Source organism: Homo sapiens, chromosome 3 (assembly GCF_000001405.40).
Source record: "Homo sapiens chromosome 3, GRCh38.p14 Primary Assembly".
NCBI lineage: Eukaryota > Metazoa > Chordata > Mammalia > Primates > Hominidae > Homo > Homo sapiens.
In genome coordinates this window covers 99,504,115-99,522,086 of record NC_000003.12, presented here as the reverse complement: position 1 = coordinate 99,522,086, position 17,972 = coordinate 99,504,115, and the positions used below count along the sequence as shown (strand labels likewise).

At 38.0% G+C, this 17,972-nt stretch overlaps 2 long non-coding RNA genes across 3 annotated transcripts in view; both read left to right on the top strand.

Annotated features, from left to right (window-relative positions):
* The window catches only part of LOC105374007 (uncharacterized), a 175,630-nt gene that overhangs the window by 76,417 nt on the left and 81,241 nt on the right, over positions 1 to 17,972 (top strand). The window lies entirely within an intron of this gene.
* LOC105374005 (uncharacterized) overlaps positions 1 to 17,972 on the top strand; it is a 46,233-nt gene that overhangs the window by 25,881 nt on the left and 2,380 nt on the right. The window contains exons 2-5 of one of the 2 annotated variants that reach the window (XR_001740466.3): positions 4,709 to 4,810; positions 7,233 to 7,315; positions 11,878 to 11,967; positions 14,501 to 16,188. This is a non-coding gene — a long non-coding RNA (uncharacterized LOC105374005). The remainder of the gene's footprint in view (positions 1 to 4,708; positions 4,811 to 7,232; positions 7,316 to 11,877; positions 11,968 to 14,500; positions 16,189 to 17,972) is intronic. The other variant, XR_007095985.1, reaches the window with a different exon arrangement.

Here is a 17,972-nt window from a genome sequence, read left to right as displayed (position 1 = left end):
AAATTGTAATGGAGCTTAAATGAAATTTTTATCATGGTACCTGGCACATTGCAGCATCCAATGAATCTTAGTTCTTAATCCTATAATTAAAAAACTGGGGCACTGTTCTCTAAACTAATACAGAGACTCATAGGGGAACAAGAAAAGCATCATGATCGTATGAGTAAAACATCCATTTAAGAGGGTGTGTGGGTTGTTGGAAAGGTCATGGAATACAAATTGGAGTTGTTTGGACATACTGACTATGGAGAAGAGCAGATTGTCTGGGAGAAATAGATGAGACAAGGGTGTATTCCAGGGAAAGGGTCAACTGGGAGGCAAAAGTAAATGTTGGCTAAAAGACCTTAAGGCGTGCCTGTGGAACAAGAAGAGTGGGTAGCAAGTAGTTACAAAAGCTGAGGGCACATAAGGATAGCTTCTCACTGTGGGAACCATAAGAAGATTAATGTAAACCCAAAGTATCAGGGGAGGGTATTCCCTTATGTAAAAGGAAGTAATGCTCTTTATACAGTTTTGATAATGTATTTGCAACATGACATAAGAACTCTCTTATGGCATATTTAGTAATTGGAAATGGGAAGCTATTTAAGCAGAAAAAACTTTTAAATTTACCCCAACTTATGGAACCACATTCAAGGAAAACCTTTGATAGTTGTCCAAATCTTAATTGTCTTAGATGTGTTCTTAACCTCCTTTCTTTTACTGGAAACATCATGTAGAGTAATATAGTTTATTCATGTGACAGACATGGGATTTACGATATGTTCCATTTGTCTGAGGCTGCAATGGAAGAACATTTGTAAATATGTTTACAGGGTGACATGAGGTTGAAAGGTAGGTGCTCAATTAATGAAGGTTTATTTAATTAAATGTGTATTAAATAAAATCATTCGCAACATGAGATGACACATTTTTCAAAGATTTAACAAGAGAATTACACAGAAACTGCACCTGCATTATGAAATAATGAACTTGAGACTACAAAATTTGACACAAATGTAAGATATTGTTGTTATTCGAAAAGTAGCTTGAGTAACATGACAAGAGTTCTTGGCATTAAATAATAATCATAATTTCGATCTGGTAGAGAAGGGAGTGTAAGGTGTTTGTATCTTTGATTCATATTTCAGTAAACCATGGTACAAGTGTAGTGGGCCTGGAAAATACAAATCCAAAGCAGACTTGAGTCTGCTTTTGATGATCCAACATTTGGGTGGGATGCAAACATTCCAGTTCAAGGTATGTAACAGACTGTAATAGCAACACAATAAAATATACACATTAGGTCTTTCTCTCTACAAGGCTTGCCCTTTTCCTGGCTGCAGAGAGCAAGAGGATTAACCTGCCCCTCCCCTAAACTGGCTCACACTATCTTTATCCTCAGGCTAAATCTGATACCAAGGAGACTGCATATACAGTTGCTTTGGGTCCACTGCTTGACAAAGGAAGCCCCATTCTTTGTATGTAGAGGGATATAGTACTTACTTCTGTTAGCTACCATGAGGGACACCTGTTGCCTTTGCTATTTGGGAAAACTAGAGATAACTTCTCACTCATAAGGTTGTACTCTTCAAGAGTATTGGGAATACTTAGGAATATATATTTGGGGATAAAGACATGGAAATTTAAAGCCAGAAGAAAAATTCCGGTGACTCAGTCTTATTTACACAGAGATTGAAGTTAATATGTTTAGTTAACCTATAATAAACTATATAACCTGTATAACCTATAAAACTTCATGAAATTTTCCTTTTTATGAATTTACACTTTTTCATAGGATTCTTTGCTGATGCTCCTACCTTATCTTTTTCAATATTTCAAATCAACTTTCCCTGATAATTTTGTATGTTGCCTAGACACAGCTGTTGTTTTGTTTTGGGGAAAACAACACAGAAATTCCTAAATGAAGACAGAATGGAGCTTCTTTCAAATATAACAATATGCTGAGATTTTTATTTTTATTTCAGCAATATGCTGAAAAATAAATAAAGTTTCAAATAGCCACTCCGAGAATCCTAAAATGCTCAAAGACATTTTGGCACCATTGATAGAAAATTAATTTGTGGTTTATTCAAATTATGCTATGTGAGGAGAAAATAGCTCAATAAATGAGTGGAAACCAATTTCTTAATGTTTCTCACTTGCCTAATTGTTTTCCAAAGAAATAAATAAAAAAAACTCAAATAGAAAGTTCATAAAAATATACAAAACATGCTTATGGCCACAGACTTCTCCTCATGCTTTCAGAGCTTTACATTTTATTTTTGAACCCATTGCATATATTGCTCCTGAACATTATCAACATTAATAAAACACAATAGTCAACCTTTCCAATTGTTTTCCCCTTCTCCTACTCTTTCTTTTTATATCCCCCCTATACCCCTCCTCCTTTTCCTCCTCTTTCTTCTACCCTCCTCCTCTGCCTTCCCCTTTTCAACAAAAGAATCTTTATTAAGCATTTTCTGGGCATAGGATACTGTGGGCTCAAAGGTGGGCTGTAAAGAGTTCACTGAAAGAATAAAGAGGGTTTCAGAAATTAGAGTTCATTGTGGAGAGTCTTTGGGGAGGATGGATAGTGGAGGAATGTTCAAGAAACAATGAATCCATGTCTGACTGGGGAGAAAAGAAGTAGAGGAAGTAATGAGAGGAAGGTAAGTGTTGGCCAGATTATAAAAGCCCTTGAATGCTGTTTGGATTTCATTCTGTAGGCAATAGAGAACTGTCAATGGTATCTAAATGTCAACATATGTTAAAGAGTGATTAGGGAAGATAAACGTATTAATTAAAGGTTCAGCTGGTCTAACAGAAACCATCAGTAAGAGTGGCTTAAACAAGATAAAAGTTTATTTCTCAGTTTATTAACAGTCTAGGCTGGTAGATTGGCTCCACAGAGTCAGGGCTTTGGTATCTTCCCATCTTATTACTTCACCATCCCCAGGGCTCATTCTTGTTCACATGGTCCATGACAGCTTGCTTCTGTTTCCATATGACTGCTACAGGAAAGCAGGATGGAGAGGGCAGGTGTCTAGCTAAAATACAGAGGTTCTATTCGTATAAAAATACTAAGAAACAAGGGTCAAACATAATTAACCTGGCAGGCAGCAGTGTGCAGAATACACTGGGACAGGGAATCTATCTTTGTCCCTTTCAGTCCCATAACTATCCTAGAACCAGCTTACAATATATAGGGTTCTGAATCATATGTTTCCTGACTCCTTGGGGAAAATTAAACTATTTCATGGATATATTTGGTTACAAGGAGATGCAGAATGGTGCAGTGGAAGAAGTAGCAGACTGATTGTCAAGTGAGCTGGGTTTAAGTCTCAACTTATAACTTCAGCGACCTTGGGCAGGTTGCCCAAAATTTCAATTTCAATTTGTTGTCTATGTATAAGGTTATAAATACTTTTTCCTTCTTGTCACAGTATTTGAAAAAGAGAAAGTTACTATCATTCCCTTGCTGCTAGTACAGAATGTAGATGTAAATATTTATCTATGTATAAGTATGTGTCTGTATTCGTTAGATTTTAAAAGGAATAATAGAATAATATAATCAGGAACAAGCATGAAGATGGCTATGATTATGACTTTGATTTTTATTTATTTCTTTATCCTCAGTGCCTGGCATATGATAGGCCCAAGACATTTTGGTTGAGTTTATTTATTGATAAATTGCAAGTTTTACCTTAAAACATCACATCCAGATGTTTTTAGGGAAATTATTTCTATTTATTTATAGTTTGTCAAGCCTTTTTCCATTTTATGTCTCTTTATTAACTCTTTATAGTAGACTACATGGTAGAAAATAAGTGTGGCTTAATACAAAATTTCTTTTTTTATATTATCAGAAATCTAAAAGTGTATCAATTAAAAAATACTTATCAGTTACATTTTTCATTCTCTCTCTCTCTCTTTTTTTTTTTTTGAGACAAGTTTTGCTCTTGTTGCCCAGGCTGGAGTGCAGTGGCTCTATCTCGGCTCACTGTAACCTCTGCTTCCTGGATTCAAGTGATTTTCCTGCCTCAACCTCCCGAGTAGCTGGGATTACAGGCACCCACCACCATACCTGGCTAATTTTTTGTATTTTTAGTAGAGACAGGGTTTCAGCATGTTGGCCCAGGTTGGTCTCCAACTCCTGACCTCAAGTGATCCCTCCGCCTTGGCCTCCCAAAGCGCAGGGATTACAGGAGTGAGCCACTGTGCCCGACCTCATTCACTCTTAAATGATCTTTTCCTTTAGGCCTCCTCTCATTAAGACTAAGCCAAGGCATGGTGGCTCATATCTGTAATCCAAGCACTTTGGGAGGCTGAAGCAGGTGGATCACTTAAGGTCAGGAGTTGGAGACCAGCCTGGCCAACATGGTGAAACCCTGTCTCTATCAAAAAATACAAAAATTAGCTAGACATAGTGGCGTGCACCAGTAGCCCCAGCTACTTGGGGAGGCTGAGGTGAGAGGATTGCTTGAACCTGGGGGCAGAGGTTGCAGTGAGTTGAGATCCTGCCACTGCACTCCAGCCTGGGCAACAGAATGAGACCCTGTCTTTAAAAAAAAAAAAAAAAAAAAAGATTAAGCCAAGAAGGTTTTTGCCTTGGAAATGAGTCTCAAAGATGAGTTTTTGAGTCCACGGTATTAGAATGGTTTTGATACCTAGTTTTTTTTTTTTGAGAAAGAAAAGAATTTATTAAATGTCTAACTCTCTCCCACAGTAAATATCAAAAACCAATCCTGGCATACTTCCTTCAGAGAGTTTTGTTGTAAGCCATTGTATGGAAATATTGGAGTCTGTTTTAAGGAAAGTTCTCATCAAGGTACTTCAGTTTTTGTTTTTACTTGTTTTGTTTTCCCATAAAGAGAAAAAGGTAAGAGGAAGAGAAACAAGAAATCAGATGTTATTGTCCTACTTTTCCTCTCTTGGCCAAAACCCTAAGGAGTGGGAGTGAAAGGCAGAAATACCCAGATAGTTTTGGGAAACTCCCAGCATAGGGAGGCTTGCTCCTCACTTCTCAAACAGGGAACACTGAAGTCAGCCCTTTATAGAATTTGTTTCTTTCCATATGTATTGGAGTCTTATGATGGCAGCCAGGTTAGATAGGCCACACGTGATGTGCTGGTAACCTGTTGTCTGAGTGTGGCCTTTAGGGATTCTAAATATTTCTGTATCCCTTGGCAAGTAGACACCTAAGCACTAAAAACAGGACAAGGAAGTGGCAGAAGGTGTTAAACTGATCTATGCCAGGCACTGGTTTCATTTCAACAGATACCAAGGAAGGATTCCTAAGGGCAAGACCAGATCTACTGCTATATGGTAGACAGGGAAGAAAACAGCCATGGAGGATATGCAGAGTCTCCCCACTATGTAGATGCCATCTTTCGAAGATGGAGCAGAAGGGAGAAACTCCTAAATAAGTGAGACACAGTTGACTGAATTAACTCAAAGGAAGTAATTCTAATTTGAAAAAGAAGGGTTTTGTTTTCCCTCCTGCCTAAAAAGATGTTCTAGAAAAAAAGTTATAGACAATGGCAAAAAAGTGTAGGATATTTCCGAATTGTCATATATACTACAAGTTTCAGTCCTGCTACATTTCAGTCCTACTACAAGTACTTAAAGTATCTAGTACCATCCAAAAGTGAACACTGACATTTGTTGACACTTAAAGTATATACTATTTTAGTCAGAGATTGCATGGTAAGATATTCTCTTTTATATAAAAAAGAAGCCATTGATTCCAGAAGCTTAATAATTTCTGAATTTCTTCATGAATAGGTGGTAGGGTGGAAAAATTTAAACCCTTTAAGAGAAATCCAACTGGCCATGATGAGCATTTGCCAAAGAACTTGGAAGCTCCATGAGAGGTTACTGAGCATCCTGTGGAAGGCGCAGGATGCAGAGGTAGAAAATGCTTATTGCCAAAGGTAGGGCCTGGAGGCAGAGCCAGGGCCCCAGCTGCATTTACTTTTGTGCCTGCTATTTGGCTTGGCAGAAGCAGCCTCTTTTCCGGGAGGGAAATGATTTTTACATCGGTCCGTAGACTTAGAGGATATAAACTCAAAAGAAAGGAGGATTGAGTTGTTCTGACTAACTAGGTTTGGTTCATTTCCTTGGGACCTCCCCAAACACATTGATATTTCTGTAAGAATTAAATGAAGGCAGTGATGGAAAGAAGACATTTTAATTGCTGCCTGAATTTCCAGTTAGTGTAATATCTGCTTGTTAATGTTTCTGAAATGGTTCTGTGTAGGAAAATCCCAGAGAAGTCATCTAATCCATCTTCCTGGTGGTGCAGGATCACTACCTACTATTTATCAAAGATAAGGTAGTTACATCTGACCCAAAAGAGATACTTTGGAGGAAGCATCACTGTTGAACAGGCCTGTTCTATAATTAAGGGTATATGCCAAGGAGCTCATAGTCAGGGAGATAGTAAAAGAACACACATTTACAATGTAACAAGTATTTTGGTAGTTGATCATTCATGTGTCACACTGTTGTTAAACACCGTCCTTGTGCCAGGTTCTGGGCTAGGTGCTGGGAACATCAAAGAGATTGTTTTCTAACTGGAGTGGTAAGTTTAAATGTTAAATACCATGAAAAAAGTTCTAATGGAAGAGCTAACAGAGCCCTCAAGTAGCATGAAGAGTGATGATTGGGGATCTGGGTTGGGGAATCAGAGAAAGCTTCATGGAGAAGGTGATATTTGTGAGAAATTTTTATAGATTGCCACATGAAATCACCTCTGTAATACAACAGGTGCATTGATGAATATGCCAGTTTGGGGTTGTTCTTAAAAAACAAGTGAGGCTGGGTGCGGTGGCTTGCTCCTATAATCCTAACAGTTTGAGAGGCCAAGGAGGGAGGATCGCTTGAGGTCAGGAGTTCAAGACTAGCCTGGGCAACATAGTAAGACCTTGTCTTTACAAAAATTCAGAAAAAAAAAATAGCTGGCTGGCTGCATTGGCATGCACCTGTAGTCCCATCTACTTGGGAGTCTGAGGTAAGAAGAGTACTAGCGCCTGGAAGGTCAAGGCTGCAGTGAGCCTGAATGACAGAGTGAGACCCTGTCTCCAAAAACAACAACAAGAACAACAAACAAAACAAAAAAACAAAAAACAAGAGAATAAAAGTGAATTGATCAACAGGAGGAATTATCTTTAGAATGCTTTTTAAAGTTAATCTGAAATGAAAAGATTAAGCCATTTTTCATAGCTTGGTTTATTTTGATTATTGCTAAGGTATAACCAGCTCTATCATGTTGCATTGTGCTTGATGACTTGGGGAATGATCATTATGACGGTCAGAATCTGCTGGAGCAAAGGTATGAAGGGAAGTGAAGTTTGTCAGAGATATTTTCTATTTACTTCATCTTCTCACGCCCTTTATCTCTTAGACCCTTCTCTTCTTTCCCTTGACAATTGTCACGTATAACTGGGGTTCACCCATTCTTCTCTCTCTTTGCTGGTTAGGAAAGAAATTGATAATCAAATTGACATTTAGCTTTTAGAACTTAATGATTTAACCCATACTTTAGGAACTTTGATTTTCTTTTTTTTTTTTATTATAGTTTAAGTTTTAGGGTACATGTGCACAACGTGCAGGTTAGTTACATATGTATACATGTGCCATGCTGGTGTGCTGCACCCATTAACTCGTCATTTAACATTAGGTATATCTCCTAATGCTATCTCTTTGATTTTCAAAGAAATTTATAGGAGGAAGACAATGCTTAGCTTAAAAAGAATGATAATGACAAAATGTCTGATATGAAGACATTTAGATGGTAGGGAATATACTTTTACCAAGTGTCCTTCCAAATCCCTGGAGGAAATGCTTCCCCCTTTGCTTAGGTGACTACCTTGACTTACAGCCCTCCCTGAATATTCCCCAGAAGGATTTTTAGATTTAGTTAAGCTATAATGACAGAGCCCATAAGACTGTTAACTTCTAGTGTAGTTATGATATATTTGCACTTTGTAAACTCATGAATGAATTCCATGACTGAAGGCTTACTTATGTATGTGCAAGATCTACATTTTTATTCCCAGTGTAGACTTGAGTGGTGAGGCTAAAGAAAAAGGAATTGGCAGAAAAAAGTATGTGCATGTGTTTACATATAGCCCTATACACATGTTTGTGTATGTATTTATGTGTGTGTATGTGTGTATGTATACGTGCATGATATATCACACAGCATATCATTGCACTACATGATGTTGATTGTGGCACCAAGAATCACAAGGTCTGGGAAATTTTAATTGAGTTCTTTTTGTGTCTGGCACTCTCATTTTCTACCCGCAGGGCATGTGAACTTTTCAGCTTAAGAATTGATTGCTTATTTTTAGCTGTTTAACCAGTTGGGCTCTATCAGTCCAGAGCAATCTGATTCTGGGATGATTTCCTGGCAATACTGAGTGCCGATCCTTTTTAGAGAAGGCGTGCAATCAATTGTTATTGACAAGATTTTGATGGTCTTCAGTTTCCTTACCATGCAGTTCTATACACGTTTTTGTATCAATGTACATTTCCTTTGTTATTTTAGTTTATTATCTTGTTTTATATGCTAACTATTACACTATTTAAGGTGATTTTTTTCCATCTTAATTTTCCAAAATAATCAGTGGAGAATTCTCACTGATTTTCCACTGATTATTCTGGAGAATTATCAATATGTTGATCAGTATTGAGCCCAACTACCAGTATACTCTCTTTTTCCCCCTTCCAAATTTTAATTTATTTTCTCTTCCTAAATTTCAACAAAATTCTAAAGCTCCCACTATGTCTAATGAGAAATTCTCACTGTATTTAACATTGTATTTGTTTATTAGTTTCATTTCAGTTGCTTATCATTTCTTATGAATGTCAAGTGGAAGAAACAATGTAAAAAATTTAATATCCCTGCAACTCATAAAATCATAAAATCTAATCTTCAGTTTGATGCAAAGTTAAAAAACAACCCAAACTGTCCAAATGTAACTTCTTGGAAGCACTTCCAAATTGATTCCAAATATTCTTTTGTAGCTGTGGGTCTTATTTCCCTCTACATATTTGTTAATTTTCCTTCCCCCACCCCAAGTTTCAGCAAAATGAGAGTTCAAACAAGTACCATATGATCATGGAATCACATAGTGATTAGGTTACATAAGACTTTCATGGTTATTTTATTCATCTATGCATTGTGTTTTTAAATCTCCTTCATATACAGACATCCCCTCTGAGAGATAATCTGGCTTATTCTTGAATTCCTCTTAAGAGAATTATTAACTTTCAAAACAATGTAGCTCATATTTCAACAACTATGTCAGAAATATTCTCCTTTCAGGACCTTTCTGCTCCTAGCCTTAGTTCTAGAGTTATCTTAGAGTTATAACCTTTTTGGAGTTATCTCGAACAAGTCTGATTCTTTGATCCCATGCAAACCTTTAACTGTTGTATGTCAACAACTATGGGTCCCAAAGTCTTTTTCTCTCCTCATGTGTCCATCATTTCCTATTTCCTTGATCATTGCTTACATCATATGGTAGACTATTGTTCTCAGGACATGCTCAGTTTATAGGCTTCCTAGAGTGTAGTGCCCTAAATTGGACACAAAACTCTGGGTTTGGCCAAATAGAACTATCATCCTTCTTCACTCTAAAATGATAAACGTTCGTCAACATATCCCAAGATTGCATATTAGGAATTTTGGACATTGTATTTCACTGTTGATTTATCTCAGGCTTGCTGTTGATTTAAACCATAAGTCATGTTTTCACCTTTCATGCTGAGCCCTGTGTCCTTCACTACCCAGAACTCAAACTGTTTTTGGACTTCAGTGAAATATTTTAAAATTGTCTCCTTTAAATTTCATCTCATTGTATTCAGGCTGGCTTGAGAAGATGTTTTTGGTCTTTATTTGGTCCTAAATCATTCATAATAATTTCCAGCTTTCTACCATCTACAAATTTGGGATATCTATCTTTCACATTTTTATATGAATTATTAATAAAATTATGTTATGATATAATTAAGAAAATTTCTCTCTAGGTTGCCACTGATACATAGATAAATGACTATTGCATAGTGTACAGTTATTCAAAAATTACAAATGCAACTAGTCAAATGGTCATCTCCCTTGTTTTCCCATATTATCAACTAAGCTATTTAGAGAGACTTTGTAAAATGCAGCTGTCACATGTTCCATAGCTATTACACGTGGCCTTTTGGTCTGCCAAATAGGAAAAACAGGTTAATCTCATGTGACCTATTAATGAACTCATGCTAACTACTAGTAGAAACTAGTTTCCCTCTTCTGAGTGAGGATAGCTCACTGTCCTTTGGTGGGTGCTATTTCCATCTCTCTCTCTCTGTTTTGGAATAAGAAAGACATTTGGTGGGTCTGCAATACTCCTGATCCTCTATTGGTTTTCCCATTTCCTCATGGGCACACATCACATTTGCATTTCTCTCAGCCACAGACATTAAAATTCTCCCTGATAGCATTATAGAGCTTGTTTAGAGAATGTAAATGTTCTCTTGGCACTTATGTAAATTTTAATACGTTTAATAAACTTAATTCCCTCCTGCTGTGTTTGTAGCACAATATCCATTCTGAAGAACATTCTCCACAGAGAAGATGGAGAGCAAACGAGAGATATGGGCTTTCACCGTCTCTCCATTTTCTATCAACTCTCAAAAGTGGGCTTCAAAGTGGTCTATAGGTCTTCAACATTCACTCTTAGAGGAATAAAAGGATAGGCTGGAGGAAATACTTTCAAATCACATATCTGATAAGAAACTTATGTCCAGAATACAAAAGAACATTTGAAAGGCAATAGTAAAATAGCCCAATAAAAAGTAGGCAAAAGATTTGAGTAGACACTTTACCAAAGAAATAAATGGATGGAAATAAGCATATGAAATGATGCTCAACATCATTAATTAGCAAGGAAAGGCAAATTAGAGCCACATGAGATGTCAATGCACACTTATTAGAAAAGCTTAAAGAGAAAACTGTTCATATCCAGTGTGGGTGAGGCTGGAGAAGAACTTGACCTCTTACATTGTTGGTGGGAATGCCAATGGTTTGGTCACTTTAGGAAACAATTTGGCAGTTTCTTATAAAGTTAAATTTACACTTAGCATACAAACCTAGGAATGTCCCTCCCTAAGTATTTACCATAGGCAAATGAAAACTTACATTCCCACAAAAACCTGTATGGGGATGCTCACAGTGGCTTTATTTGTAATTGTCAACAACTGGAAATAGCCCAAATGTTTCCCAAATGTGATAAAGTCATACAATAGTGTAATACACAGCTACAAAAAGGACAAACTATTGATATATGCAATAACATGGATGTATCTCAGATGTATTATGCTAATGAAAACACCAGGTCTAAAAGGCTGAATACTGTCCCATGTAAATGACCTTCTTTCAAAGGAAAACTGTAGAGACAGAACAGGTAGGTGGCTGCCAGGGGCCGGCATGGGGAGTTTTTTTGGATGGTGGAACTGTTCTTTATCTTGACTGTGGTGCTAGTTACACATGATCATATGTGTTTGTCAACCCATAGAACTGTGTACTAAGAAGGGTGAATTTTACTGGATCTAAGCTAAACCTCAGTTTAAAAAATGAATATGTAATTTTTTGTTCTTGTTATCTAAATATGTTTTGTTTTTGCAAACAAAACCATTTTAGTTTTTCTAACATATTGTTAGCTCAGCCAAAAGATCTTTAATAATAGCTGGACATAACTTCAAGCCTGTCTTGGTCTGTTCAGGCTGCCGTAACAAAATACTCCTATAATTGGTGGCTTATAAACAATAGGAATTTATTTCTCCCAGTTCTGAAGGCTGGGAAGTCTAAGATCAAGGTGCTGACAGATTCTTGCTTCTCCATAGATGTGTCTTCTCTGTGTAACTTCACATAGTGGAAGGAGTCAGGAACCTCTCTGAGGTCTCTTCTATAAGAGGACTAATCCCATTCATAAGGTATCTGTCCTCATAACCTAATCATCTCCCAAAGGCCCCACCTCCTACCATCACCTTGGTGGTTAGGATTTCAACATACGAATGGGGGCGGGTGAATACATATTTAGTTCATTACAGACACTGACCATTCAGATCTCCCTTTCCAAACCCTTCTCTCAAGGATTTTTTTTTCATCATAGAGTTCTTTAGTGTATATCTGATTATAGCCCTCAGGATCACAGCCCCCTAAGAATCTTTGCTGTTTTTCCCATAGATTAATATAGCACAAACCTAAAGGCCAGATTTTTAAAAAAATTTTTTTCAAATACCCTTGAACCCTAGCCCCAGTTTAACATTTGGGAAGGGCTCTGCAATGATGAAATACACACATATTAAATATGTCTGGTATGATCACATATTCCTGGTATTTTATAGAATCGTGAGGTTTTAAAAACCACCACCAGTCCAGATCGGATTTTCCTTGTTTGTCAATGAATATGGCACGTGGGGTGGAAGCATAGAATCACAGAATGTTCAAGCTGGAAGACACTTAGAGTTCGTCTAGTCCCATTCTCTATTTTACAGAATCAAAAGCTTCGTTGCCTCTTGGCCATTATCTGGTAACTTCAGGCACTCTCTGATCTTGCATTCCTTGGGCTCCATCCAGACCCAGGTCCAAGATACGCTGTGCTCCTAGAGAAATGCATTCCACTTGGATAAAGCAAAACAAAACAAAAGCCCAGCCACCTATTCTACTAGCAGACAAGAGTATAAATATGCAATTCTGAGGGTGCATCAGCGATCAGCTATGCTGTGGTTCAGTAAAACGAGGCTTCTTTAAGTGGCCTTGGGTCTCCTCTAAGGTTATACATTTTGGGTTCCTTTAAGGTTTCTGGTGGTCTAATAGTAATGTCTTTAGATGATATATTTTATGTATTTATTTATTGAAATTTAACTGCAGTTCAGGCTGAATATCATCCTGGATGTTCAGAAGTCTGTTTTTTCTTTCTTTTCTTTTTTCTTTTTTTTTTTTTTAAAAAACCACCTACCTCCAAGCCTACTCTACATTGTTTGGTAAATTTCTGAGAAGGAAGTTCAAGGCTCTTTCAAAAAGGAAAACATAAAGTTAGGTTTTCTGCTGCTCTTGGCTTCTCAAGAATAAAGTCTGTGGCAAAAGTACAGAACCACCAAGGTTTGGAGTTGTCACTGCTGAGGATGGATGTGTGATATTTGAGGAGACAGTCTCAATGGGAGGAAAACAAGGCTACCCAGCTCAGTTGTTTATTTCCCTTTCTCTCAACCAATTTACTAAGAGAAGTGTCTGGATCCTCAGTATATTTGTCCTGTTGATTATTTTCCTTACAATGATGTTTCCAAAACATGATACTGTCACTTTTAATTTTCACCTCTCTCTTACCAGAGCCCTTCCACTCTATTCTGGGCACTAGCAAAGTCACTATCCCTGGGGCATAAACTTCTACTTGAATTGAATTGGCAACAGTTCAGGTATATGGAACCTCTGATTGTTGAGAAAATGTGTGCTTTTGTGTCATTCTCTCTAAAATCTTGTCCTTCTTGTGTCCAGAACATGGAAGAGCTATATTGTTAAAGTGACTTAGGTTTGCTGTTTTCCCTTTTTGTTTCCTTGCTTGAGAGTGTGGATACTGTTTGGACTGGAAGAACTCTCATTAGAGCTTGATTTGGGGGCTGGGCAGGGCTTGCTGGGGAAGCACTTATTTCCCTGTGAAGCTGGCCACCTTCCTGTTCAGAGTTCCCTTTTGGAATTTCTCTTTGACATACTCTTCTAACTTCTTCACTCCTGCTCTGGTTGGCAAGGCCCCATGAAATGTGAATATCCTGTGGGCTGCCCTTGTGTCTAGTCCTTGCCACTCTCTGCCACCCAGGTCCTATCAGGATCCAATCTCATGCCCCATAATAATGCTCCTTAGACGTGGTCTCATTTTCTTAGTTCTTCTGAAAGGACAGTTTAATCTGATAAGTAAATGTAAGGTAAGAAACTCTTGTAGATTTTAACAGCAGCCATCCAGAGACAGAGAATCTGCTATTGCTCTCTAAACTAACAGAGTATCTCCAAGAGGAAAATGGGGAGAGCTGGGGAGGGTATCCCACATTGAAGGAGCCTCCTTTGCCCACCCTGGCCTTGGGACTGCCCATAGCAGTTCCAGAACAGTGAAATTTAGACCTTGGGCTTGGGCTGCGTGTGGCTTTTTGTGTTCACTTGGGCCTCTAATGTCTGTATTTCATATCCCATTATCCTGAGCCTTGCAAGCATCAGCAGTTCTGTGGCTCTTCTGGTGAATGCTACTTGTGAATAAGCCTCTCAAATCACAAAATGGGAGGAACTTTCACTAAGGGAAAAAGCATGGGCAATATTTAGCCACTTCCCAAAGCCACTTGGAATATATGTTGATTTATTCTTAGGAAAAACAAGACTAGAACAAGAAGTTTATTGAACATTAAAATTATTTAAAAAGTTAATGAATAGCTGTTTATTAACATGCTTACCTCCTTCTTCACTTCTCCAAAAACAAAGGAGCGGTATTTATACCCCAGCAGGACTTGCTTGAATACAAGGAACGCCATCTAATGAAAATCCCATGCCGCAGGCTGAGCTGGAGGGAGCATCGTGAGTGGCTCAGACCCAGGCCTTCAAGGCAAGGGACAGACACCGTCTTACTTGGTTTGCGGTGGAATATCTGGAAAAAGCATTGGTTACATTTTTTGTAACCCTTGGCTAATGAGTCCCAGTCAGTGGAGGCTGAGCTAAACACCACACAGGCAGCAGACCATCAGCTCGCTTCTCATGAATGCAAAGAAGATGTCATGGAATCAGGTCTTATCTTTTCATGTAACCTGGCAGCTAATTTCTCCCTTAATTAGTTGTAACACCGTTTATGCAAAACAAAGGATTTTCTTATTTCCTTAAACAAAAATTGTGCTGGAATTCTAGAATTTATTTTCTAAGTATGTAATTAAGCACATTACAAAAAGACATAATTGCAGGTCAGAGATTTTCTAGTGGAGACTGTTACCCATGTTCTCAGGGTGTTGACAGGATACGCTTCATCTCCCTGGTCCTGCCCCCATGTTATAATAGCTAACAGTTTTTTGGTATTTTTAAGTTTGCAAAGAGTTTGGATATGCAGAATCTCATGTGGAGCTCCTTATTAGGATTAAAGGGGGAAGAAAAGAATCAGAGAGTAAAATTTTAGAATATTAATGCTTGGAGGCCTTTGGGGATCACTTAGTCTAGCATTTTCCAAATTGTAACCAGTAGAATACGAGTTCTAGAAAATGATATTTGAAAATAGAGTTCCAGCTGGGTGCGGTGGCTCATGCCTGTAATCCTAGCACTTTGGGAGGCCGAGGTGGGTGGATCACAAGGTCAGGAGTTTAAGATCAGCCTGGTAAACATGGTGAAACCCTGTCTCTATTAAAAATACAAAAATTAGCTGGGCATGGTGGCACGTGCCTGTAGTCCCAGCTACTTGGGAGGCTGAGGCAGGAGAATCACTGGAACCTGGGAGGCTGAGGTTGCAGTGAGCCAAGATCCCGCCACTGCACTCCAGCCTGGGTGAAAGAGTGAGACTTCATCTCAAAAAAAAAAAAAAAAAAAAAAGAAAAAAGAAAATAGGGTTCCAAAATGAAATGAGGTTGGGAAACCTGGGACACTGTTTCCCCTCCTGGAGATTTGCAGTTCATATTAACATATTATAGGCTTTGGGGATTCCCAAAATAAAAAAAAAAAAGTATTAAGTTTCTTTTAATGAAGCATTTCCTACTTTTATTTGATTATGCAGTATCTCCCCTCCCCTCATATATATATATATATTTAACATTTAAGGAAACCAAAGCCTTACAGTTACACGGTTAATTGGTGGCAAATCCTCGATTTCACAATTCTCGGGCTCCAGATTATTACATCACTTGCTAAGGTCTGTGAAGTACTCTGACTGTGACTCACAACCGAGGACTTGTGGAATAGTGACTGGGCCACGCGACTGCACTCTCTTAAGATTTTGGTTTGCCAAGTCATTCTGAATCTAATGATCTTTGGGTGATTCCCCAGACTGAGGAGGAAGCAACAGCAGCTGTGCATTGGGCCCACAGAAAGAATGGTTGAAGACTGCAGTGTATTTTGAGTTTCTGCTTTGGAGGGGAGGGTTGGTCCTGATGCCCACAGACGAATGGCCTCCTGGTTCCAATCAAGGCCAGCCCAAAGTAAGTCAGTGAAGAGGTGAAATGTGACTTCAGAAAAACTCTGCTCTTTTTTCATTTTACTATATAATCCTTGATATAAGTGTAACTACACTTTCACATCCTCAGTGCTTTTGATAAAAATTCTGCTCTGAGAGCTTTTATTCATATTACATTATAAGTGATTGATAACTACAGTTAAAGGTTAAAGTGTTTCCTATCCCACAGGGATTTCCATTCCACCCTAAACACTGTGCTAAAAAAAATAAAGCTCTAAGGGTGGGTCTCGAGGCGAGTGGTGAGGGAGAATTTTTTCCCCTACATGGGGACATAGGCTCTGAAAACCACATTGGATGGATACATATCCTTTTCATGCTTGAATAAAAAATATACATTTCTGGTCCAACCGAGTTTAATACACATCTTGACATTTTATTTTAATATTTCTAGTAAGATATCTTTTTTTTTGCAAGATGGAGTAGCCTTATTGAGTCCCTAGGGTACAATGTCACTTGATTCTTCACACATGAAGAATGTGGTTTCATTTTCTCAGTTCTCTGATAAGTAAATGTAAGGGTTCTCTCTCTTCTTTGAGGAGATAGGAGAACATGCTCAGTGCTGCATAGTACTATAGACTCATTAATTCCTTGACAGTGAGTAGCTGTCATATTCCAGACCTGGGGAAAGAGAGACACCTAGGTCATGGCTTCTGTCCTCAAAGAGATTACCTTCAAGAGGAAGCATTCATAAATTTATATAAACAGATAATAATAATTTGATAATTTCTATAATGGAGATCTATCCCAAGAATGTGGGAATAAATCTTCATGTTAAAATGTTTTGAGTTCTTTGACAAAGTCAAATCTGTCTGAAAAGTACTTTAATAGAACACAAATTTTATGCTAATTTTCAGGCCTTAAATCTAGGCCAAAGTCATGGGTAGTGCTTAACACATAAATAAGTTTCCTGTATGATGTGTGTGTGAGGTGAAAACCTTTTCACCCTTAACCTACTCCCCTCACTGCCATCATAAATGGTACAAGCTTTTAAGGTGACATTTGTGTTTAGTGTGGTCTGAAGGCCTTTGTTATTGGAGACAGGCAGCACACTAAGTTAGGGAAAACCTTGGATTTAAAAAATATTAAGAATTACTTGGACAGCCAGCAAATTCCTTAGTAACTTGCAATAGAAAAGAAAGGCTTAAAAAAAAAGAAAAAAAGGAAAATGTGGTCTTTAGGCCTTGACATCTCAATTAGCTTTTTCTAAAGCTAATCCACCCAACTAAGTTTACAACATATTGGTTAGGCACATCATCAGGAATTGAGATGGCAGGAATCATCTAAACTTGCTTAATCAGGGCCTTGTTGAATATCCCAGCAATGCAAAACCCTAGATGGCGGATGCAGGTGGTAACCAGTGTCCCTAGGAGTTGTGCAATGTGGAGACAGTATCCTGTCTATGAATGTCTTTGTTTACTCTGTGTCCCTCTTTTCTTACATCTGCCACATGTGAACTCATAGGGCATGAGTTCAAACAGTTGAATTCCAGAGCTATAAATGACGTGGATTCCCTCTGGGAAGCAGTATTGGAACAGTTTAACACCCAGTTTTTGAAACTGACATGTTTAGGTTTAAACCATGGCTCTGCCCTTTACTAGCTTGTGTGACCTATGAAATGGGGAGATTTATAACACTAACTTGTAATGAGATCATCTAGGCTAACCACTTAGCACCTGGCACAGTATAAATATACAAATACATGTTAATTGTTATTATAACCTTATCTCCTATCCCTCCATTTAAAAAGCA